Below are 25,265 nucleotides of genomic sequence, written 5' to 3' on the forward strand. Positions count from 1 at the left end.
CCACAGCTAATATTAAACTTAAAGATGAAAGAATAAATGGTTTCCCCCAAAGATCAGGAATAAGATAAGGATGTCCATTCTCGCCACTTCCATTCAACATGGTAGTGGGGATTCTAACCAGGACAATTAAGCCAGACAAAGAAGTAAAAGGAATCCATATTGGAAAGAAAGAATAAAACATTCTTTATTTGTAAGTGCCATAATCTTATATACAGAAAATTCTAAGAAATCCACTTAAACTACTAGAACTAATAAATGAGTTTGACAAAGTTTAAGGATGTAAGATTAATATACAAAAGTAAATTGTATTTCTATAAGCTAGCAATAAACAGTCCAAAGATGAAATTAAGAAACAATATCCATTAACAATAGCACCAAAAAGAATAAAATACAGTATTTACTAATAAGTTTAGCAGTAGAAGACTTGAACACTGAAAGCTACAAAAATACTGAAAGCAATTAAAGGAGGCCTAAATAATATAGAAAGACATTTCCATGTTCACAGATTGGAAAACTTAATGTTGCTAAGAAGGCAATACTTCCCAAATTGATCTATAGGTTTAGCACAATCCCTATAAAAATCATAGCTTTCTTTTTACAAAAATTGATAAATTGATGCTAAAATGTATATGTCAATGCAAAGGACCCAGAAGAACAAAAATAATCTTAGAAAAGAACAGACTTGGAGAATTCACAATGACTATAAAGCTACAGTAATCAAGACAGTGTGGCATAAGGATAGATATATAAATAAATGGAATAGAATTGAGCCCAGAAATAAACTACTTGCACTTACAGTTAACTAATTTTTGACAAAGGTGCAAAAGTAATTTAATGTTGGTAAAATAGCCTCTTCAACAAATGGTGCTGGGACTACTGTATATTCACATGCAAAAATATAAATTTGGACCTCTATCTCACATTATACAAAAAAAATTAACTCAAAATGAATCATAAGTTTAAATGTAAGAACCAAAATTATGAAATACTTAGAAGAAAATGTAGGTGTAAATCTTCACAAACTTGGACTGGGTAATGATTTGTTAGATATAACACCAAAAGCTCATGCAATAAAACATTAATAAATTGGACTTGATCAAAATTTAAAACTTTTGCATTTTAAAGGACATCAAGAAAGTGAAAGTGTGTCCGAAATTGGTGGGTTCTTGGTCTCACTGACTTCAAGAATGAACCTGTGGACCCTCACGGTGAGTGTTACAGTTCTTAAAGATGGTGTGTCCAGAGTTTGCTCCTTCTGATGTTCAGATGTGTTCAGAGTTTATTCCTTCTGGTGGGTTTGTGGTCTCGCTGGCTTCAGGAGTGAAGCTGCAGACCTTCGCAGTGAGTGTTACTGCTCTTAAGACAGCACGTCCAGAGTTGTTCTTTCCTCCTGGTGGGTTGGTGGTCTCACTCGCCTCAAGAGTGAAGCTACAGACCTTTGCAGTAAGTGTTACAGCTCATAAAGGCTGTGCGGACCCAAAGCATGAACAGCAGCAAGATTTACTGCACAGAGCAAAAGATCAATGATTCCACACTTCGGAAGCAGACCCCAGCAGGTTGCGGCTGCTGGCTGGGGCAGCCTGCTTTTATTCCCTTATCTGGGCCCACCCACATACTGCTGATTGGTCCATTTTTCAGAGAGCTGATTGGTCCGTTTTGACAGGGTGCTGATTGGTGCATTTACAATCTCTGAGCTAGACACAAAAGTTCTCCAAGTCCCCACTAGATTAGCTAGACACAGAGCACTGACTGGTGCGTTTACAAACCTTGAGCTAGACACAGAGTAGTGATTGGTGTATTTACAATCCTTTAGCTAGACATAAAGGTTCTCCAAGTCCCCACTAGATTAGCTAGACACAGAGCACTGATTGGTGCATTTACAAACCTTGAGCTAGACACAGAGCACTGATTGGTGCATTTACAATCCTTTAGCTAGACATAAAGGTTCTCCAAGTCCCCACTAGATTAGCTAGACACAGAGCACTGATTGGAGCATTTACAAACCTTGAGCTAGACACAGGGTGCTGACTGGTGCATTTACAATCCTTTAGCTAGACATAAAAGTTCTCCAAGTCCCCACTAGATGAGCTAGACACAGAGCACAGATTGGTATGTTTACAAACCTTGAGCTAGACACAGGGTACTGACTGGTGCATATACAATCCTCCAGCTAGACATAAAAGTTCTCCAAGTCCCCACTTGACTCAGAAGCCCAGCTGGCTTCGCCCAGTGGATCCCGCACCAGGGCCGTGGGTGGAGCTGCCTGCCAGTCCCGTGCGGGGTGCCCGTACTCCCCAGCCCCTGGGCAGTCGATGGGTCGGGGAGGCTCGGGCTGCGCGGGAGCCCACTGCAGCAGTGGGGCGGGGTGGGGGGTGGTGCGGTGCTTGGGCATGGCAGGCTGCAGGTCCCGAGCCCTGCCCCGCAAGGGGAGGCGGCTGAGGCCCAGCAAGAATTCAAGCATGGCGAAAGTGTGCCGGCAGTGCTAGGGAACCCGGCACCCCCTCCGCAGCTGCTGGCACGGGTGCTAAGCCCCTCACTGCCCTGGGCCGGTGGTGCTGGCTGGCTGCTCTGAGTGCGGGGCCTGCAGAGCATGTGCCCACCTGGAACTCACGCTGGCTCACGAGCACCGCATGCAGCCCTGGTTCCTGCCCGTGCCTCTCCCTCCACACCTCCCCGCAAGCAGAGGGAGCCGGCTCTGGCCTTGGCCAGCCCAGAGAGGGGCTCCCACGGTGCAGCGATGGGCTGAAGGGCTCCTCGAGCATGGCCAGAGCGGATGCTGAGGCCGAGGAGGCGCTGAGAGCAAGTGAGGGCTGCTGGCACATTGTCACCTCTCAAAAGGATGCATAGATTGGAAGAAAATATCTCCAAATCACATATATAAGGGTCTTGTTTCCAGAACGTATAAAGTACTCTTACAACTCAATTACAAGAAGACAAGTCACAGAATTTAAAATGGGCAAAGAATTTGAATAGATATTTCTCCAAAGGAGGTATATAAATGGCCAATAAGCAGATAAAAAGATGCTCAATATCATTAATTATTAGGGAAATGCAAATCAAAACCTACTGTACATTCACCAGAGTGGCTAGAATCAAATAAGTATGGGAGAGGACGTGGAGAAATTGGAACCCTCTTATACTGCTGGTGGAGATGTGAAATAGTACAACCACTCTGGAAAACAATTTGGCAGTTCCTCAAAAGATTAAAGCTAGATTACCATATCACCCTGCAATTCCACTACTAGGTATATACCCAAGACAACTGAAAATATGTTAACACAAAGATCTACACATGAATGTTCATAGCAGCATTATTTATAATAACCAAAAAGTGGAAACTCCATCAAGGGGTGAATGGATAAAAAAAATGTGGTAGAGATCCATACAACAAATATTATGAGACCATAAAAAGAAATGAAGTACTGATACATGCTACAACATGAAAGAACCTTGAAAACACACTAAGTGCTGGGAGGGACAGAAGAAGTGAAGAATGCTAGCTAAAGTGTACAAGGATTCTTTTTGAGGTGATGAAAATGTTCTAAATTGATTGTGGTGATAATTGCACGACTCTGTAAATATGCTACGAACCAATGAAGTGTGTATTTATTTTTATTTTTATTTTATTTTATTTTTTTGAGACACAGTCTCACTCTGTCACCCAGGCTGGAGGGCAGTGGCATGATCTCGGCTCACTGCAACCTTTGCCTCCTGGGTTCAAGCAATCCTCCTGCCTCAGCCTCCCAAGTAGCTGGGATTACCGGTATGCACAACCATGCCTGGCTAATTTTTGTATTTTTAGTAGAGATGTGGTTTCACCATATTGGCCAGGCTGGTCTTGAACTCCTGGCCTCAAGTGATCCACCCACCTCAGCCTCCCAAAGTGCTGGGATTACAGGTGTGAGCCACTGTGCCAGGCCTGAAGTGTGTATTTAAAGCAGGTGAATTTTATGACATGTAAATTCTGTCTCAATAAAGCTGTCCAAAAGGGGAGGGAGGGGAAGATGGAGTGAACTATGTAGATATCTGAAGAAAGAACATTCTAAGCAGAGGGAACAGCCAGAGTGAATCCTCTAAGGCAGAAGAACAGCTGGTGTGTTCAAAGACAGCAAGGAGGCCAGTGTGACTGGAATAGGTGAGGGAAGGAAAAGCCGACAGGAGACAAGGTCAGAGAGATCATGAAAGGCCTGGTCATTTAGGGTCCATAAGACCCTATAAGGCCATTGTGAAGACTTTATCTTTCCAGTGACTGAGATGGAGAGCTTTTGCAGGGTGGTGAGCGGAAGGATGACATTACATCTGATTTACATTACAAAAGAATACATCTGGCTGCTGTGTGGCTGGGCAAAGGTAAAGACAAAGAGACTAGTGAGGACATTGTGACCCATAAAGAGATGATGACAGCTTAGACAACATTGATAGGTATTAATGGAGATGGTAAGTAGTTGGGATTTGGTGATATTTAACTCTAATCCTCACAACAATTCTATGAGGTAGCTAATGACATCATCCACATTTTACAGATGACAAAATGATTACATATGATTTCACAGCTTGCAACATCCCACACAGAATAGGTCATAATTTTATCAAATGTTAAACCCAGGCAGTCTGAGTCCAGAGTCTGCATCTCACTCATCATCCTATACCACCCCTCTGGAAGCTCGTCTGTGTCGGAAATCTCACCTGTGCCTGTCAGTTCTGCCACGTAAACATACGAGGATGTTTAAAAGTTTTCAAGCCACAGCTGTATGCTGGAATTCTCTTCCTAAAAACAAGCAGTATTCCTGGGGTCTTGGTCTGACAAGTTCATACTCATATTGAAATAATTTGTTTCCCTGAAAAGTGAGTGAGCATCAGTGCTGAGCTAGACAGAAAAAAATTTGAGGCCTAAAATGAGAAGAAAAAAAACAAGGCTGAAAAGTATGGCATTGCTCTAACAAGGAAGAAGAAAATAAATTCATGAGAAGAGAGACTCTGACAAATACCACAGAGGGGAATTATCCTATGAGCCTTTGTGAATTGAAATTTGGGGTTCTACGAAAATTATATAATGGGATTGGGATTCTTTCTACTTTTTAAAATGTTTGAATTGAGCCATTGTGTAGCTTTTACTCATAGCTCTGATGAGAGCCTTAACTACAATCCTGAAAGCTTATTCTGGCCCTAGTCGGGCCTATATCCAAGTTTTCTATAAATCCAAATATTTGAATTGGAAGTAAATTGCATGTGATTGGTTTTTCTTTTGCTTCCTCCAAATAATGGCATCTATCAAGGGTAGATCAGAGCACTTTGCCAGAATTCATACTTGCCTCCCCCACTTCTCTCCTCCCTTCTTCCCATCCTCTTTAAATCCAAGCCATACTCCTTCCATTTATAAAAGGATATTTTATTTTATAAACAAAAAATAAAATTCAAAGATCCTCCTGTTATATGTAAAGTTTCAGTGCTGCAAAAGGAATAGCACTCGAATATAAAGTTTTCCTTTTAATTCTCAGCAAGGCAAGTTACTTCTATAGAAGGGTGCGCCCTTACAGATGGAACAATGGTGAGCACACACTTGGACAAGGGAGGGGAAGGAGTTCTTATCCCTGATGCACATGGACCCTGCTGCTGTGCCATTCCCCCATTGGCTAGGGTTAGACTGCACAGGCTAAAGTAATTCCAATTGGCTACTTTAAAGAGAATGACAGGGTGAGTGCTTTGGCGGGAGTCAGGGCAGAACCGGTAGCAGGTAATTGGAATGAGTCAGGGTGGAGCAGGTAATCAGAATGAGTCAGGGTGGAGTAGGTAATCAAAAAAGGTTGCTTTATGAGGAAGTTAAGTTTAAAAGTAGAAGGCAAAGAATTGAACATACTGACACATTAATTCTTTGAAAAGAAATTTAGAACTCATATCTAACACTCCAACCATCTGAATGGACCCCTCTCAGCCGAGGGCATTCCAAAGTTAACCCAAAAAACTAGTTCAGGCCATGATGGGAAGAGGGAGTAATTCATGCCTTATTATGCCCTTCTCCCTTTTGGAATTCAGGCACAGCTGACCAGCATCCACATCAACACAGACCTTAAGACTAATAGAATAGCCTCTTTAAATCTGATAAGAAACATTTATAATCTATTCTCTTTGAAACCCGGACGCTTCATCTGCGTGGTAAAACCTTGGCCTCCACCACCCCTTATTGTAATTCAGACATTCCTTTCTATTGATTCCAGGTCTTTAGATAACAACACTTTCAACCAATTGCCAATCAGAAAATCTTTGAATCTGCCTATGACTGGGAAGCCCCCTTGTCCTGGCTTTCAGTTTTTCTGCTTTCCAGATCAAACCAATATAATACATCTTACACGCATTGATTGATATGTGTCCCTAAAATGTATAAAGCCAAGTTGTGAGTTGTAGCCTGACCACCTCAGGCACATGTTCTCAGGCTCTCCCGAGGGCTGTATCACAGGCCATTGGTCACTCATATTTGGCTCAGAATAAATCCCTTCAAATATTTAACAGAGTTTGACAATCTTTTCATGGACAATTTCCAGTTCTGCTCTGTGTTTTGGCTTCTTGTGGTCATGTGAGACTCATTCCTTTTACTGTTTCTGTGCATACCTTCCCCCAGCCCCCACCCTGCATCCTGTAAGGATAAGATGCTTGGAGCAGTAGCTACCACCTTGCAGCTGGAGGAGAACGCCAGGAGAATTTTAGAGTGCCACCTCATACTGAGATTCTCCTTCCTCCAACTTCTTATTATAGGAGGTATTTCATGATTTTGTTGCCTCAATTTAGTTTTCTATTATAGCAGAGGTATCCTAAGGAATCAAATAATTACCAATCTCACCTTTTCTTTTTTCTTCCACAACTCTTCTCTAATATTGGATCAGGGTAGGGGAGTTGGGTAGAGGGGGATATTTGCCTTCACCTGTACCCCAGCCAGTGCCCAGTCATACTAGGTCTAACTTTCTAAACTTCTGGATCTTCTCTCCCTCCCTTCTTCTCCTCCTCACTGCTATCCCCCATGCCCCTAGCAATCAAGTCCTGTAAGAATCAGGATCCACTTTCAAAAATAACAACTACATTTTCCACTGTGGGTCTGTGTCATAAAGGAATGGCAAAAGGTTAGTGTAATAGCAGCTTCCCACTGACTAGTCTGTAATCACCATTCTTTCGTGGAACTCAATCAAGTATCTCATTACATAAAATACTGAACATTATTTTGTCATTTATTTCCTTGGTTTAACCTGCTTAAATAAATAGTTCCCCCAATTCAAAAGCAATTTAAAAAGCAACACGGTTTTGTAAATTGTATGTATTTTTTAAAGTTTGGGTGGCAAAAAGTAAATACCTTGTCTTCTTTTATACACACAATAGTATTGTATAGACTTGAGCTTTGCATGGACTGCCTTTATCTGCTTCTACAGTATTTTAATAAATTCAGCTCAGCTAAATTCTCTGCTTTCCTCCATGACCTTTCTTTACTGTGGCATTATCCTGCTGTGATTGATGGGAGCACTGTACAATGTACTGGCATATTATAAAAATTGTATTTGGGCTGCCTAACTTACTTTTGATGAAAAACTTTAGTATACCTGCTAAAGCAATCCCTATTCCCTATGAAGACCAGCTTGAGTTTCTATTCCCTTTTTCAATTTTTTTTATGAGTTTGAATGAACTTGGAATCCGTCTCAGACTCAGGAGCAGAACACACTTTATGTTTCTGCAGAGTTGTTTTTCATCACAAACCAATAAACAGTAGACAAAGCTCTCTGTGGAGTCTGCTCATCAAATCAGATCTATACTGTATCACTATTTAGACAAAATGAAAAAAGGCCAAGAAATCAGGCACATCCACAGATATATGCCAACCTCTATGATAAGGTTGTCATGACCCTGTCATGAGACAGGGTCTGTCTTCCCAGAAATAAAAAGATGATGGGACACTCTGACAGAGGTGTCTCATGCGTTGACAATTTTCTTCACAGAGGCTGTGCCATTGATCTATCTCCACTGCATTTCATTGGGAATTTAAATTATATCCAGACATGAGTATTTCTGAACTGACTTAAACTGAAAAATAGCCTTTAGTCTTTTTCTTCTTCTATGGACATTTGTTAAATCTTTGTTTGCATGTATATAGAAGCTGTCCTTAGGGGAAATAGAATTCAGCCCATGTAAGAGAGTATTGAGTTTTCATAGTATATCTGCCTAGGTTCACTCTAAGGGCTCTGCTGGTTGTTTTATCATCATAAACCACCTGGAATCTCTCAACAAGACTGGGTACTACGTAAATTACATTCCAAGACAAGAAAGCCTGTTTTAAACCCTCTTTCAAGAGAGTTTATATTGAAAAAAGGAAAGGATTCAATCATAAAAAAGTATGAGCATGACTTTGAGGGCAGTCAAAGGTGTCTCTAATCCTACGACTTGAGACTCATGTGACAGGACAATTCCATGTAGCAAAAGGGGCAGATGGAGAAAGGAGGGAACCTAGAAGTGCCAGGGAGGCAGTGTGGCATGGCTCTGATCCCTGCTCTGCCACATAGCAGTGATGTAATTGTAGTGGGCACTTCCTAAGGCCACCTCCAATGAGTCACACCCTTGCATAATCCTACATCCTTATGTAATCCTCTCCCTTTGAGTGCAAGTGGAAAGTCTGACTTGCTTCTAACCAACATAATATGGCAAATGTGATGGAATGTCACTACTGATGGAATGTAATTACGTTGCATTATATGGCAAAGCCGATTTGATGTCACTCCTATGATTTATGTATGATTTATGTTATGATATATAAAACTCCATCTTAGTTAACTAGGGTGAGAGACTTTGCTAGCTTTGAAAAAACAAACAGCCATATAAACTATCTATGAAAAGGGCCATATGGGAGGAACTGTGGGTCATCTCAAGGACCTGAAGGGGACCTCCAGCTGAAAGCCAGTAAGAAGTTGGGGCCTCAGTCATACAGCTGCAAGGAAATGAATTTTTCCAACAACCTGGATGAGCTTGGAAACAGATTCTACCCCAGTCAAGTACTCAGGTAAGGATACATCCAATCTGACACTTTGATTGAAGTCTTATGAGATCCTGTGTAGAAGACCTAGACCAGCCGTGCCCAGACTTCTCCCATGAGGACTTTGAGGTAATAGATGTATGTTGTTTTAAGGCACTAAATTTCTGGTATGTAATTTGTTATGTAGCAATAAAAAATTAATACAGTAATCTAGGAACAAGTTTTTTCTTTTTCTCTGAGTCTAATTCTCCCCATCTATATTATGGGGATAATAACATCTACTTATAGGTAGGTTTAATCATCAAATAAATTTTAGCTCTTCCTAAAATGGTAGTTGTTTTATTGTATTATTAATATTACTATTCTTTTCTGGGTACATGAGACCCAGAGCACCAGGCTAAGGGTTTCAGGAGTTGAAGTCTGATCCTGGGCCCTAGCCCACAGGAACCCAGGGAATGCCATGCATGAATAAAGAAGAAATACAGCCAGCTGTCCTGTCTCGACTTTCCTTGAGGCTGATACAGTGGTGCACTAAATCTTTTTCTATGATCTACTCTGTGCCCAGCAATATGCTAAATATGCTAGGCAGAGACAATACCAAGAGAAGTAAGAGGTTCTCCCTGCCCTTGAAAGTGTCCAGGCTAATAGCCATAATTTAGACTCTAAGACTCACATTGCAGTTCTGTGTTCAGAACTGGGATTCCAAAATTTGAGGGCAACCAGTGCCAAGCTCTGCATATTTTAGGGTGCAGTGGGAAGCTTTGAGGCTGCTTACATCCTTGGGTGTCCAACACCTTGGGTAAGTAAAGGCTCCCTTAACACAGGGAGCAGGTAAGGCTGAAGCCAAGGGAATGATGTTGCCCCTTGGCATCACTGTCATGAACTATCTTGAATCTCCCAACAAGGCAGGGCACTGTGCAATTGACATTCCAAGACCAGGCAGGCCTATTTTAAATCCTCTTTAAGAGGATTCACAATCCACCCTCTTGCTGCACTAGCATGGGTAGAGCAGGAAAATTCTCCATATTATCATTGAAGCTGTAAAGGTTTGGGAGATGGGTCATTCAAAATTTTCAGAAGTTCTTGAAAGCCAAATGTTAGTGGATGAGGAACTAAATTGGCTTCTGTTTCATCTTTGTTAGGTTTCTACAGCAATGTTATCTTGAATGGTTTGTCAACATGTTTCACTGAGAAAACTTAAAGCAACTCTGGTAATTACAAGTGGAACCTTGTTACAAGTGGAACCTTGACAACTTCAGAAGTGACCATCACAACCAAACATTCCCTGCTCTGAATCACCTGACATTCACTGTCTCATTCACACCAGCTTCTTCAGGTGGCCCTTGATGATCTGCCTGCCTCCACAGAGGCTCAGAAAATTAGCCTTTTCTTTTTTTCTAGATTTCACTCTTCATGATGGATGTGAAAGACAGTAAAGTATGCTAGTTAAAACCCAGCCTCTGGAGACAGACTGATGTGGGGTAAATCCAGCTTTGCCACTTAACAGTTCTCTGCTCTTGCACAATTTTACTTAACCTCTCTGAACCTGAAATCAGGCTAGTTACAGCATATTAGTGAAGCATTCATCACAGAACCTGAACATAGGGAGTCCTCATTAATGACAGTTATTATCATCGTTATTAATATATTATAATCACATGGCTATTGCTTTGTACTTATCACATAGTCATTAATGTCCCTAGAATAGTGCAGATCGGATGACACCAGTTATAAGACCCTGAGAAGCTTAACTCAGCAAAACTAAGTTGTTTAAATCTATGTTCTAGCTCAGAGGTTGGCAAACTTTCTCTGAAAAGGGCCAGATAGTAAATATTTTAGGCTTGCAGGCCATATGGTCTGTGTTGCAACTACTTAATTCTGCTATTATAACTCAAAAGCAGCCATAGACAATACAAAAGAAAATGAGTATGTTTGTGCTCCAATTAAATGTTATTTACAAAAAGAATTGGCTGTTTGGATTTAACGTGTAGGTCATAGTCTGCCAACCCCTGCTCTAGCCCCTTGTCCATGTACAGCAAGGTACTCCCAAACAGAATGCTAATGGGAAGGGCACGTGGCACAGTAGACACAATAGAGTTTGAGTCTCGATTTTGTCATGTCCTGACTGTAGCATTCAGGGAATATTACTTAACTCTGTAGAATTCTGAGAATATTACTTAATTCCTCCATGCCCCAGTTTCTTCCTCTGTAAATCCTAGGCAATAGTACTTCCTGGGCAGGGTTTCTGAGGATAGATGACCCCAAGTATATAAAAGATAATTAAGTAAAAGAGATAACATATGTAAATGAGATAATGTAAGTGTGTATATTTCAGGCTTTTTTGCATGAATTTACTTTGTATCTATCTGTTCAACCGGATTATGAGTTTGTTGAAGACGAAACATCTGTTATCTATTGCCTTTATTTCTCTCATCCTTGTCTCTAGATCCTAGAAAAGTCGTCTGCACAGAGCAGGGCATGGCCTGCATTCCAAATTTTGTTATTCTCAAAGGTCAGTTGTTCTCAGTGGCAGACAACAGAAGCCAAGACTTGCTAAGTAAAACAGAAGACAAATTTGCTGGAAGGACATGTGAAAATGGGCACAAATTAGGAAGCAAGGTCATACTTGCATCACTGCTGTTAGGCTGCTACCACTGACTCCTCTGCTCCTGCACTCCCAAAAGCACCATCAAGAAAAACCCCACACACAGTTCCTTCATCTTTGCCTTACTTGCTGAAGATTAGAAGTCCCAGGTAGGAGTCTTTCAATGACTAAGGCCAGATCACCTGCCCATATCCTGGCTACAAGGAAGCAAGGAAAGAAAATGTTAGCCAGCCCTTTTGGCTTTTGGAATGAGAGCATTTTACCAAGTCACTTAATGGTGTAGAGCTCCCCAGTAGGAAAGGTTTTAGGGGCTGGGCAGCTAGAAGAATGACAAATGGCTACTCCTCTGACTATCTGCTTACCTGGGCCACCTGTTTGTAGAAAACTTTGAGGTCACAACATAGTCCACCACCATTATGACTTTCAAATTGGTTGCTTGTTGCATAGGTAGTGGGATTTTAATCTAAGCCCTCCAGCCTCGCTCCGTTGATTCCCTACAGTAGATACACCAGTGCCCCTTCCATATGGCCTCACTTTGGTGCATGCCAGCCTGCCTTCCAACAGTCAGCATCTACAACTTTGTTAGAGGGCTGCCCTCAGACTGCTGGAACCCACTTTGCCTCCATGCAGGGCAGATCCAAAGTGCCTAGGTAACTCATAACCCATCAGTGGTATCCTTTAACCAAAACTTAATAAGTACAATGTATAAATACTCCAGCTCCCTTGCCCCTTGACTGGAATCATAATGAAGCATGCGTTTTGCACCATTTTAAAACACTTCTCTACAGGATGAAACTTCAGGTGGACACTATGGTAGTTGCCTTAATAGTGTCCCTTTATAGACTAGCTTCGTTATATTATTTCTTTCTCTCTCTTCTGCCCTTCTCTCTCAACATTCCAAATAGACTATGTGCACTCAATCTTTGTCTCAGCTTTGCTTCTGAGAGGAGCCCTGCTAACACATCTCTCTTATATCTGGTATTGGCATGCTATTTTGCAGACATATCAGGAATACTGAGACAACTATTACTACAAAACTGTATAATTCACAAGACCACTTGCAGATACAAACTAGGTACATATGAGATCAAGAATGTATTATTTTCTTTCTCTATTAGAATTACAGTGCTCTGTGTTTATATTAAATCTGCCCCTGTGATGAAAACACAGATGTCAGAAAGAAAGAAAAACAGAAAGAAAGACAGAAATGAAGGAGGGAAGGCAGGGAGGAGGGAGGGAGGGAGGGGAAGAGAGAAAGGAGAGAAAGGAAGGAAAAAAGGAAGGGAGGGAGAAAGATAGGAAGCAGGAAGAAAGAAGAAAGAAAATAGACAATCATTATTTAGGAGAATCAAAAGAGCATAAAGGAGATAGGCCTTGAAATTCCAGGAGATGATAAGAAAAATTGCTTTGAGGCAACAGGAGAGGTTGCCTCCTCAGAGTAAAAGGAGAGCTCCCTATACTCTGGAAAAAGGAGATATGAGAAGCAAATGAGAAGGGCTGTAAATCACTGGGTAATCAAAGCAAAAGTTATTCTGCAGGGCCCTGCAGAAAGCTTTCAGAAGAAGAAAAGTCAGATCAACTCTCTGTGCCTGAAAAAGCACAAAACTCTCAAGTCTTGAAATGGAGGGGACTCATCTTGGTATTTCTAATGGCATTCAGTAATTGCAGTGGCTGCTGTCCTCCTCTGGGAATTGGGAGGAGGGGGGTGTTGCTGGATGTTCTTGTACAAGGAGGAAGATAACTTGAACATGATTTTTTCTCTTCAGTGTATCCTGAAAAATTGAATTGTGATGATAAAGATCAGGCAATTGTGCTGAAGCACTGAACTCTTTATGAAATAATAGCCCAAGTGCTGAACTCTAATCTTGTTTCTCTCTTTGTTGGAAAGGGGAGGGGTGGCACTTGTGCTATCACCTAACTATGCACAGGCAGGACGATGGAGTAATAGTTACTGTATGCCCTGTGACCAAAGTTCTCTTTGATGCAGGGAGCCAGCTAGGCAATCAATCTAATATGGAGAAGCCGAGATGTCCATTTGTTTCCAGAGGAGAGAAAATCCTTGGGACCAAAGGAGGGTTAAGAGAAGTGGGGAAGGGGAATTGGCTGGTTGTGGAGATAAAATTCAGCAAAACAACAGACAAACTCCAACTCTCACCCCAAAAAAAATTAGGAAGGAAAAAAAACCTAGAATGAAGTTTGAGTGAGCAACCCTAAAAGCTGTTGATAACCTAGTATCCTGTAGAAAGTAAACTACATGAATTTGGATAGCAGAAAAAATCTAGTTAATATAGGAAATTCTGGCTAAAACATATATTTTTGTGGACTTAGAACTGAATTGTGTCATAGTCATCAACTGCAAAGAAGATTCTAGACCACACATAAGGGCTACAGAGAGTTCTCACAGTGGTTCCAATAGCTAACACATGCTGGGCTGGTTATAAGTGGATTTTCCCCACTGATAATATCAGTTTTCTTTCCTGAATGTCATAACTGAGGCCTTGTTAGCCCCTTCTTCTTATGGAACAGAGAGCACATAGCCTGTCTTGAGTCTTGGAAATGCCAATAGGTTTCTGTCATAATGGGTGTGGTCCAGGAAGCCCAAATCACACCGGCTCATCTATGGTGGCAGGCAGTAAATACATTTTTTTAAAAAGATTACCTATTAGCAGCAATGTTGTAAGCATGGTTGATTCCCTCCCTGGACTGGTCACTTCTTTGTCTGAAATGCAAGGCATGATTTCTCCCAAGGTTTAGCTGAAAGTAGTTCATATAATGATTCTGGACGATTTATGCACAGGCATGCAAATGCAATGAAAACAACATGAGGTCATTAATAACTGTAGACACTGTCAGGTGACAGATGTGAAATGAATGAGCTCCTGAGTATTTCTTTACTTTATCTTTAAAAACTGAGTTTTGAGGCCAGGCACGGTGGCTCAAGCCTATAATTCCAGCACTTTGAGAGGCTGAGGCAGGTGGATTGCTTGAGGCCAGGAGTTTGAGACCAGCCCGGCCAACATAGCAAAGCCCCGTCTCTACTAAAAATACAAAAGTTAGCCGAGCGTGGTGGTGCATGCCTGTAATCCCAGCTATTCAGGAGGCTGAGGCAAGAGAATTGCTTGAACCTGGGAGGCGGAGGCTGCAGTGAGCTGAGATTGCGCCACTGCATTCCAGCCTGGGCAACGGAGCAAGATTCTGTCTCCAAAAACCAAATAAGAACAACAAAACAAAACAAAAACCTGAGTTTTGAATTTTTTTATGAGTAACGCTAAATAGAAATGTATCTTCCTTTTTGAACTTAATAGTGTAGTTATAAGAATGTCATACTAATCTAAATGTGTCAATACTCAATGATTACTCAAAAATATGTGTTTGTATAACTTTGGAGATGTTTTTTTTACTTCATTAAATATTTTAAAGTTTAAAGAGATGTCAAATGTTCAAAATGTTGATGTCGAGAGCCCGCGGCACTGGCAGCTTGGCCTGCGCTGCGCTGCGATGTTAGAGGAGTCAGCCAGGAGCCCGGGGAAGGGAAGCACGCCCCTGGGGCTGGTCCCAGAGGGCCTGATCTGCATTTGCAGCATGAGGTTCTGCCCGTTTGCTGAGAGGACGCATCTGGTTCTGAAGGCCGAGGGAATCAGGCATGAAGTAATCTATATCAACCTGAAAGATAAGCCTGAGTGGTTCTTTAAGAAAAATCCCTTTAGTTTGGTGCCAGTTCTGGAAAACAGTCAGGGTCAGCTGATCTACGAGTCTGCCATCACCTGTGAGTACCTGGATGAAGCATACTCAGGGAAGAAGCTGTTGCCGGATGACCCCTATGACAAAGCTTGCCAGAAGATGGTCTTTGAGTTGTTTTCTAAGGTGCCATCTTTGGTAGGAAGCTTCCTTAGAACCCAAAATAAGGAAGATGGTGCTGGCCTGAAAGAAGCATTGTGTAAAGAATTTAGCAAGCTAGAGGAGGTTCTGATTAATAAGAAGACAACCTTCTTTGGTGGCAGTTCCATCTCTATGATTGACTACGTCATCTGGCCCTCGTTTGAACGGCTGGAAGCAATGAAGTTAAATGAGTGTGTAGAACACACTCCAGAACTTAAACTGTGGATGGCAGCCATGAGGGAAGATCCCACAGTCTCAGCCCTGCTCACTGGTGTGAAGGACTGGCAAGGTTTCACAGAGCTCTACTTACAGCCTGGAGGCCTGTGACTATGGGCTCTGAAGGGGGCTGGAGTCAGCAATAAAGCTATGTCTGATGTTTTCCTTCACTTATAAAAAAAAAAAGTTGGTATCAAAACTCTAATAAAACCTTAGAGAAGAGATCAAATAGTACACAAACCACAAAGGACTAGTAACAAGGAAGACAGGCAACCCTGAAGAAAAAAATGATGCAAAAGAGATGAAGAGTGAACATAAATCTCTCTGAAATTTTCCTGTATTAACCAGATAGCCTTTGCTGCCCACATTAATATACTAATGTACTCTGCTTTCTGCAGATTGATGGGACATTAACAGCTTTTTAATATTACTTATCCAAATTTGATTTTAGGTCTTTTTTCCTTTCTAAATCCCTTTTAGGTGAGAGCTAGAGTCTACCTATAAATAAATAAATAGAATGAATTTGAATAATCAACAAAAAGTAATTAACATAGATGTAATTAATGTTAGAAAATGGCCCAAACTGGGAAGACTTCAATGAACTTGGTTTCTTTTCTTACAGTACCTTGTAGTTCAGTTTAATGTAACTACCTCTTTCATATTCAGAATAGAACAATGCTTCATTGCTTTAGCCTTTTCATGATAATTAACAAATTATGGAAAAAACTCACATTTTCGATTGTATATTTTTAAATTTTTCTATGTTATGATGTTTTGACATCTTAAAAAAACCTATCTAGCTGGGGAGAGACAGCCCCTTTCAGGGTTAGCCAATTCTTAGAGACAGCAAAAGACTCAGCCAGGAGCATGCATGCCTTTGATATACAAACTAACCAATCCAGAGTCTTGCCTCAACTATCTGACTTATACACCCAAGAGACAATATTCCTCTGCCTTAATCATCCCAGTGCCAGGTACCAGGCAACTAGTAATATAGGAGTTAGAAAAAGCTATTTAGCCAGATAGTGAGGGCATAGGAGCTCTCGGTAAGGCTTTTCTTTTAATAAAAAGCAGCCCCCAAACCATTTGTTTTCTAACAAAGAGCGGCCTGTAAAATTGAGTTGCAGACAAGCCAGTGGGTGAATGTATTCTAGTTAGTTGCTTGGTTGTCACCCATTGACTTGCGAATAACAGAGACTTACTACGACATCCATTTCACTTTATTCTTACCTTATTTTTCTCTTAAAAACATTTGTTCCTTAGTTTTTCATGGCAATTTTCCATACAAAAGCTTTGTATGGAAAGCTTTTATAATTGGTTTTTCAGGGAATCCAACCTTATTTTATCTTTGAAAATATCCTGAAGTGCCAAATAAACCAACAGTCTGAAGCGGGGGAAGACTCTAGCCCCAGCAATACCTGCGACTACTAATGAAAAAGACTTGACGGACTGAAACTGCCCGAGATTTCTCACATAATGTCATCATTACGTGGATGTGCTTCAGTGCTCTGAAATAATGGCACTTTAATCTCAAGTCCACCTGCCACCATCTGAAAAGGGGGGAAAAAAGCCAAAGATATAAAATACTGAAGAAAGGTGAGGGTACTGCTTCATTACCCATACAATACAGTTTTATTTCAGTGCTACAATATAATTCTTTTTCCTTCTAGTACTAAGAGTTATTTAGTGTTATGCATTCAAAATTTTACTTCATGATTTACCATGAAAGAATCTCATTTTACTGAAAAATTTTAGTTTTTGGTCGGGCTCAGTGACTCACACCTGTAATCCCAGCATTTTGGGAGGCCGAGGCAGGCGGATTACCTGAGGTCAGGAATTCAAGACCAGCCTGACCAACATCGTGAAACCCCGTCTCTACTGAAAATACAAAAATTAGCCAGGCATGGTGGCATGTGCTTGTAATTCCAACTACTCAGGAGGTTGAGGCAGGAGAATCCTCTGAACTCAGGAGGCGGGGGTTGCAGTGAGCCAGGATTGTGCCACTGCACTCCAACCTGGGTGACAGAGTGAGAGTCTGTCTCAAAAAAAAAAAAAAAAAAAAAGTTTTTGTGAAACTGTTTTCTCTGTAAATAATCGGTTTCCTTACTCATTCTGAAATGCATTTATTGTCTATAATAGCAACCCAGTGATGTCCTGGTGTTCTGCAGAGGAAAATGCATATAGAGCAGCAGCCAGGACAGATCAGTTAAAAGCTAAATAGCAAACATCCTGAGAATTGTAACGGGTCAGAAATGGGATAATTAGATATTATCCCATTTCTGTGTTTACTTGATGCCTTTGTAACAGTCTGCACAATTGACATATTCCTTCTAAAACAAAAAACAAAAAAATTTCTTCCTTTTAGTCTGGAACACAATAACTCACTTATCCCATCCTATTGCACTTAATGGGTCTCTCTCTTTCTTTTTAATTTGCTTTCATCTTCTAAATGTCTTCTGGCTATATCTATGTTCTTTGCCAGCATTTAAATCCTGGCTCTGCTGTATACAAACTATGCAAACTAGCTCCTATGCTTAACCTCAGTGAGCTTCAGTTGCCCTATCTATAAAATGGGGCTAATAGTAGCATTCACTTAATTATGTTGTAATGATTAAACTAATGACACAAGTAAAGTACAATCCTAGGCAGTGCTGGGCCTATCATAGGCTCCTCATATTTTCTTCTCTCTATCTGTTATCACCCTCAAAGACCTCATCTCCCTCATAGGTTTAGCAGTCACTGCATTTGAATGATTCCCAAGTTGACATATGCAATCTTGATATGCCTACCTGGGCTCCACTCTTGCATCTTCAACTCATGGTGGGCATTTCTCTCTGATAGCTCAGCTTCTCCTAAACATCAGTGTGTCTGAAATCAATCTTATCATCTTATTCTCCCCGAAAAGACTAAAAAATGGTTGAAAGTTCTTCAAAAACATAAACATAGAGTTACTATATGACCCAGCAATTCCAATCACAGGTATATACCCTGTGGATATATTAATACATATACGTACAAATGAAAACATATGTCCACACTAAAACTTATACCTGAATATTTATAGCTGCATTATTCATAATAGCCCAAAAATGGAAACAACCCAAATGTTAATCAATTGATGAATTAATAAATAAATAAAAATAAAATGTATATCTATACAATGGGATGATAGCCAAATAAAGGAATAGAATACCGAAACATGCTACAACATGGATGAAACCTGAAAACATGCTAAGTGAAAGAAGCTAGACACAAAGTCCAAGTATTGTATAATTCAATTTATATGAAATAACCAGAATAGGCAAATCCATAGAGACAGAAAATAGATTAGAGGGTACCAGGGAAAAGGGAGATGGAGGAATCAGGACATGACAGTTAATGGGTACAGGGTTTTATTGGGGGGTGCTGGAAACATTCTGGAGTTAGTGCTGATAGCTGCACAACACTGCGAATATACTAAAAACCACCAAAATGTACACTTTAAAAAGGTTAAAACAGTAAATTTTATGTTATATGGATTTAATCTCAATTTTTAAAAAAGAAGAAAAAAGCAACCTCTGTAGACAGCGGAGTGACACTTGTCCATGGAAGCGGGAGGAAATGGAGCCAGAGCTGCAGAAAGGGATCTCTGATCTCCAGGAAACCAAGATATTCACTAATAGCATCAGAGCAAGGCCCCAGGGGATATCGCTGTGCTCACTTCCAAGAAGCAATCAGAATCTGACTCCCAAGACTCAACCAAATAGGTCATTATGCAGCTTTGCTGAAATATCTGCAAATTTAGACCTAAAAACTAGAAAAGGATAGAGATTGGAGGGTGAAAATAGCCAAACGAAGGACTTGAAGTGGAAAAGAAGTTCCTCAGGGGGGCAAATTTATTATATTCTCTATTGTCAGATTGAACTGGAAGGGCAATAAATCATATGCCCATTCGGAGCCTCGCTCATTGCCAGCACAGCAGTCTGAGATCGAACTGCAAGGCGGCAGTGAGGCTGGGGGAGGGACGCCTGCCATTGCTGAGGCTTGAGTAGGTAAACAAAGAGGCCGGGAAGCTCAAACTGGGTGGAGCCTACTGCAGCTCAAGGAGGCCTGCCTGCCTCTGTAGACTTCACCTCTGGGAGCAGGGCATAGCTGAACAAAAGTCAGCAGAAACCTCTGTAGACTTAAACGTCCCTGTCTGACAGATTTGAAGAGAGTAGTGGTTCTCCCAGCACGGAGTTTGACATCTGAGAACGGTCAGACTGCCTCCTCAAGTGGGTCCCTGACACCCGAGTAGCCTAACTGGGAGGCACCCCCTAGTAGGGGCAGACTGACACCTCACACGGCCGGGTACCCCTCTGAGACAAAGCTTCCAGAGGAACGATCAGGCAGCAACATTTGCTATTCAGCAATATTCGCTGTTCTGCAGCCTCCGCTGCTGATACCCAGGCAAACAGGGTCTGGAGTGGACCTCCAGCAAACTCCAACAGACCTGCAGCTGAGGGTCCTGTCTGTTAGAAGGAAAACTAACAAACAGAAAGAACATCCACACCAAAACCCCATCTGTACGTCACAATCATCAAAGACCAAAGGTAGATAAAACCACAAAGATGGGGAAAAAACAGAGCAGAAAAGCTGAAAATTCTAAAAATCAGAGCACCTCTCCTGCTCCAAAGGAATGCAGCTCCTCACCAGCAACGGAACAAAGCTGGACGGAGAATGACTTTGACGAGTTGAGAGAAGAAGGCTTCAGACGATCAAACTTCTCCGAGCTAAAGGAGGAAGTTCGAACCCATTGCAAAGAAGCCAAAAACCTTGAAAAAAGATTGGACAAATGGCTAACTAGAATAACCAGTGTAGAGAAGCCCTTAAATGACCTGGTGGAGCTCAAAATCATGGCACGAGAACTACATGAGGAATGCACAAGCTTCAGTAGCTGATTCGATCAACTGGAAGAAAGAGTATCAGTGACTGAAGATCAAATGAATGAAATGAAGCAAGAAGAGAAGTTTAGAGAAAAAAGAGTAAAAAGAAACGAACAAAGCCTCCAAGAAATGTGGGACTATGTGAAAAGACCAAATCTACATCTGATTGGTGTACCTGAAAGTGACAGGGAGAATGGAACCAAGTTATTTTCAATATATTTTCTGTTTGTCATTCTTTCTCCTTGATATTTCTTCTTTAATCAACTTTTGACCAACAAGGCAAGTAGACTTTATAACATTTTACAAGTAAAGCAAAATCAGCCCTTACAAGGACTCAGTCTAAAGTCGGGTTCTTTGAAGGTAGCCTGTCAGATGACCTGATTAAAGGTGATGAGAATATTTCAGGGGGTTTTCAAGACATTCTGTATCTGCCTCTATTGAAATTTCATTAACCTTTTGTTTTGGAAAAGTTTCCATGAAAAGGACCTAAGAGAAAAGCATTCCCAAATCACCCCCCTCAGACTGTAGAACAGATCTTAATAGCCACTAACTGAAGTAGTCCATGTGTTCCCACAGATGGCTGTGAAAAATGAATCGTGCTTATCAATTCAAGAAAATGGAAAGAAAAGAACAAGGAGTATAGAACTTCAGGATTTAGCCATGACCAAAGTAAAAAATCTTGAGTTAGTTTGCTCTTCCCAAGTTATTTTCTCCCCAATCTCAATTTCTATAATGAAGTGTTTCCAAAAGGGCAGACACTGCCTTCTGATCCTCTGTTGTACTTCACATGATTTGAAAATGATGGAGAAAAGCTAATGCATCCTACCTGGTTGTATTAATTTGCTAGAGCTGCCTTAACAAAGTACCACAAATGATGTGGCTTAAACAACAGAAATTTATTGTCTCACTGTTCTGAAGCTAGAAGTCTGAAATCAAGGTGTCAGCAGGGTTGGTTCCTTCTGAGGGATGTGAAGGAAGGATCTGTTCCAGGTCTCTCTCCCTGGCTTGTAGATGGCTTTCTTCCTTGTCTCTCTTCACATCATCTTCCCTCTATTTGTTTTTATGTCATGGTGTCCAAATTTGTTCAAATGTCTGTTATCTGTATTCAAATTTCCCCTTTTTATAAGGACACTAGTCATATTGGATTAGAGTCCACCCCAATCTCATTTTAACTTGATTACTTATATGGCCTTATATGGAAATAAAGACCCTATCTCCATATAAAATCACATTCTGAGGTACTGGAGGTTAGGACATCTATATATTTTGGTGGGGTGGAGGGAGGGATGCAATTCAACCTATATCACTAGTCTATGCAACTTAATGAAGAGCTGAGGAAAAAGCCCTTTCTCTTAACATCTAGGAAACCCTTTCAGGGATGAATCTAGAGGAGTTTGGTTCTGGGCCAACCAGGAAGGACTGGGGCCAGGGGCTGTAAGGTAGTTCAGGAAGAAGTATATGCAGAAAACTGGAGATAAAATGCTGTGTGGAATCACCAGGAGTCTTGAGGACAAAGCCAGAATCAGATGACCTGGAATCTGACCAAACTGACTCACACAGGCAAAAATCAGAATCTATGTCCTTGGCATACATCAAAGCTGCTCAGCAAGAATTGAAATGAAAAGAAGTGCAGAGGACCAAGCTGGGCACAAATGCAAGACAAATGCAAGATAGGATTATATCATCTAGGAAGTCTCAGTTTTAAGCAACAGAAACTGACTGGCTGATTTTTAATAGAAAAATGAATCAATTGAGAGGATACTGGAAATATAAGGAAACTTTTGGAGTTGAATGATACTTTTATTATCTTGAATGATACTTTTATTATCTTGCTTGTGGTGGTGGTTTTACAGATGTAAATATAATGTATGTCACAATTTATCAAATTGGATAATTTAATATAGAATGTATTGTATGTCCATTATATCCCAATAAAACTGCTTTTAAAAAAGATATTGGAACCATATGTTACACTGATGCTGGGAGTGTAAACTGGCACAGTCACTTTGGAAAACTCTTTGGCAGTATATATAAAAGCTGAGCAAATGCTATATTCTATAATCTACCATTTTCACTTCTAGTTAACCACCCAATAGAAATGCATACAAATCTTTAACAAAAATGTGTACAACAATGTTCACAGCAGCACTATTCATATTAATAAAAATGTAAACTGCCTAGATGCTCATCAGCAGTATAATGATATGTATAAAGGGTTAACCCTGTAGGCCTGGGCTACTCAAACCCTGTATATTCCCAAGTTCTTCAGCAATGGCCCTTAGCCTGATTCCTGGGAAAAGGTGTCTGAGCCCTTGGACTATCGTGCCCGAAAAGAGTATCTTTTTATGCCTAATGGCTTGGGCTATGCCAGCTAGTTAGCACTAACAAAATGCCTATTTTTGTATGCCTGAGGCTTTAGGCCTCACTGTATCCATTTGACCCTATGGGGGCTGGAGACTGAGTAGTTCAGTCTCCAATAAATATCCTGGATGCCAAGGCTTAAGTAGCTTCCCTAGTTGGCAACACTTTGCATGTGTTGCCACATACCATTGCTGAAAAAATTGAGCGCTATCTGCGTGACTCAACCAGGAGATGATAGCTAGAAACTTGTGCCTGGTTTCTCCTGGACTCAACCCTGTGCACCTATTCCCTTTGCTGATTTTAATCTGCATCCTTTTATTGAAATAAATCTTAAGCATGAGTATAACAGCTTTTCTGAGTTCTGTGAGTCTTCCCAACAAATCATTGAGCCTGAGGGTGGTCTTGAGAACCCCCAACACAAATGCATAAATATTATAGTATATTTATAGAATGGAATACTTTGCTATACTAGTAAGAGTGAATGAGATACAACTAAACCAAACAACATGGATAAATTTCACAATCATAATGTTGGACATACACAACAAATGTGGTATGATACTATTTGTATAAAGAAAAACAAGACAAGTAGAATTAATCTATGATGCTAGGAGTCAGGATTTTGGTTATCCTTGGATGGCAGATGGTAGTGACTAGAGGGGGAATGAGGAAGCTTTTAGGATGTTGGTAATATTCTGTTTCTTTATCTGAGCACTGGTTATAAAAATGCACTGTCTGTAAAAATTCATTTTGTAAAAAAAAATTTATGTGCGTGTTTTTCTGTATATATGCTATACTTTAACAATGCAAAATGTTAAAGGATACTGGATGGCATGCAGAATCTTTGGAAGAACAACCAGATTGCCAGGCAACACAGCTAGAAAAGTGCCCCAAATCTCACCACAGAACAGATTTAATGAAAATCGCACTTCTGCACTGCTGGGCCATTATTACTATGACCACCGAGAATGCTGCCTCTAAAGAGTGGATGGACCTGCTCTCACTGCCCTGCTGCTTCCTGTCCCTAGAATAAACTCAGTGTGGTCTCTGCTTCTTCTCTGACTTGCTTCTTTGCAGTTTCTATGATGGCAGACAAGCTCTGCCTGATTAGAAGAAATTATAGATGCTGGGTAGTCAAAAGAATGAGACGGCTGGGCGCGGTGGCTCACGCCTGTAATCCCAGCACTTTGGGAGGCTGCGGTGGGTGGATCATGAGGTCAGGAGATCGAGACCATCCTGGCTAACACAGTGAAACCCCGTCTCTACTAAAAATACAAAAAATTAGCCGGGTGTGGTGGCGGGCACCTGTAGTCCCAGCTACTCGGGAGGCTGAGGCAGAAGAATGGTGTGAACCTGGGAGGCGGAGCTTGCGGTGAGCCGAGATTGCGGCACTGCACTCCAGCCTGGGTGACAAAGCCAGACTGTCTCAAAAAAAATAAAAAACAAAAAAGAATGAGAAAAGTCCACTAAAGTTTATTGTATCTGGAGATCTAAATTTGATTTTTAAAGTATTTATTGAGCCCCAATTATATGTTGGGCAACAAGTTAGAGGCCTTTACATATATAAAAACTCTTGATCCTGAGAACTGCTCTGTGACAGAGCATAGACCCCAGAGAGACCTTAGAAATATACTCAAGGTCCCCTTGAGCATTTAGCTGGGTAGTGGTCTGTGTATATATGATCTGCAAACTACCTAAGGCTGGGGAAGAAACATCCAAAAGAAGTAGAGAACAACAGTACCTAGTTAACATGATGTCAGGAATAGTACCTGTTCTTAAGCCAGTTGGGGAAAAACTCAAAATTCCCGATGCATTGGGTAGAAAACTCAGGAAGGTTTTATTTTACTAAGAGGAAATAATTAGCTCTGACTGAATACAGCTAAGAAATCATAAATCATAGATGTGTACACCTAACAAATCATACAAGTCATACCCAAAAAGATCAAACTATATCTAAGTAACTTAACCAACATTTCAGAATAAAACTTAAGAATATTTATAACAACACAAAAATATTCCACACTCAAAAGGTAAAATTTATAATGTCTGACATTCAAACAAAAATTACAAAGAAGCAGAAAAATATGACCCATAATGAGGAAAATAGTCAATTGAAACTAACCCAGAACCAACACAGATGTTAGAATCAGAAGATGAGGACATTACAATAGTTATTATAACTGTATTTCATATGTTCAAAATGTTAAATAGAAATACGAAAATATAAGAAAAGACTCGAGTAAAAACTAAAATGACTGAGATGAAAAGTACACTGGATAAAATTAATAGCAGATTA

The 25,265-nt window shown here is 40.7% G+C and overlaps 2 long non-coding RNA genes and 1 pseudogene across 5 annotated transcripts in view; 2 read left to right on the forward strand and 1 right to left on the reverse strand.

The window, feature by feature from the left end:
• The window catches only part of LOC107986023 (uncharacterized), a 142,619-nt gene that overhangs the window by 61,251 nt on the left and 56,103 nt on the right, over positions 1–25,265 (reverse strand). The window lies entirely within an intron of this gene.
• LOC105374107 (uncharacterized) lies at positions 1,170–24,019 on the forward strand. Of its 4 annotated transcripts, XR_924482.3 has the most exons (7): positions 1,170–1,208; positions 6,617–6,753; positions 8,869–9,031; positions 10,147–10,215; positions 10,406–10,485; positions 11,451–11,758; positions 17,031–17,480. It is a non-coding gene; the product is annotated as an uncharacterized LOC105374107 (long non-coding RNA). The 4 variants fall into 4 exon arrangements; XR_924480.3 differs by having other exon boundaries at positions 10,147–10,485; XR_001740494.2 differs by lacking the exon at positions 17,031–17,480 and adding an exon at positions 23,790–24,019 and having other exon boundaries at positions 10,147–11,758.
• On the forward strand, positions 15,085–15,876 carry GSTO3P (glutathione S-transferase omega 3, pseudogene; annotated as a pseudogene).

The sequence above is a fragment of the Homo sapiens genome, chromosome 3 (genome assembly GCF_000001405.40).
Source record: "Homo sapiens chromosome 3, GRCh38.p14 Primary Assembly".
Taxonomy (NCBI): Eukaryota; Metazoa; Chordata; class Mammalia; order Primates; family Hominidae; genus Homo; species Homo sapiens.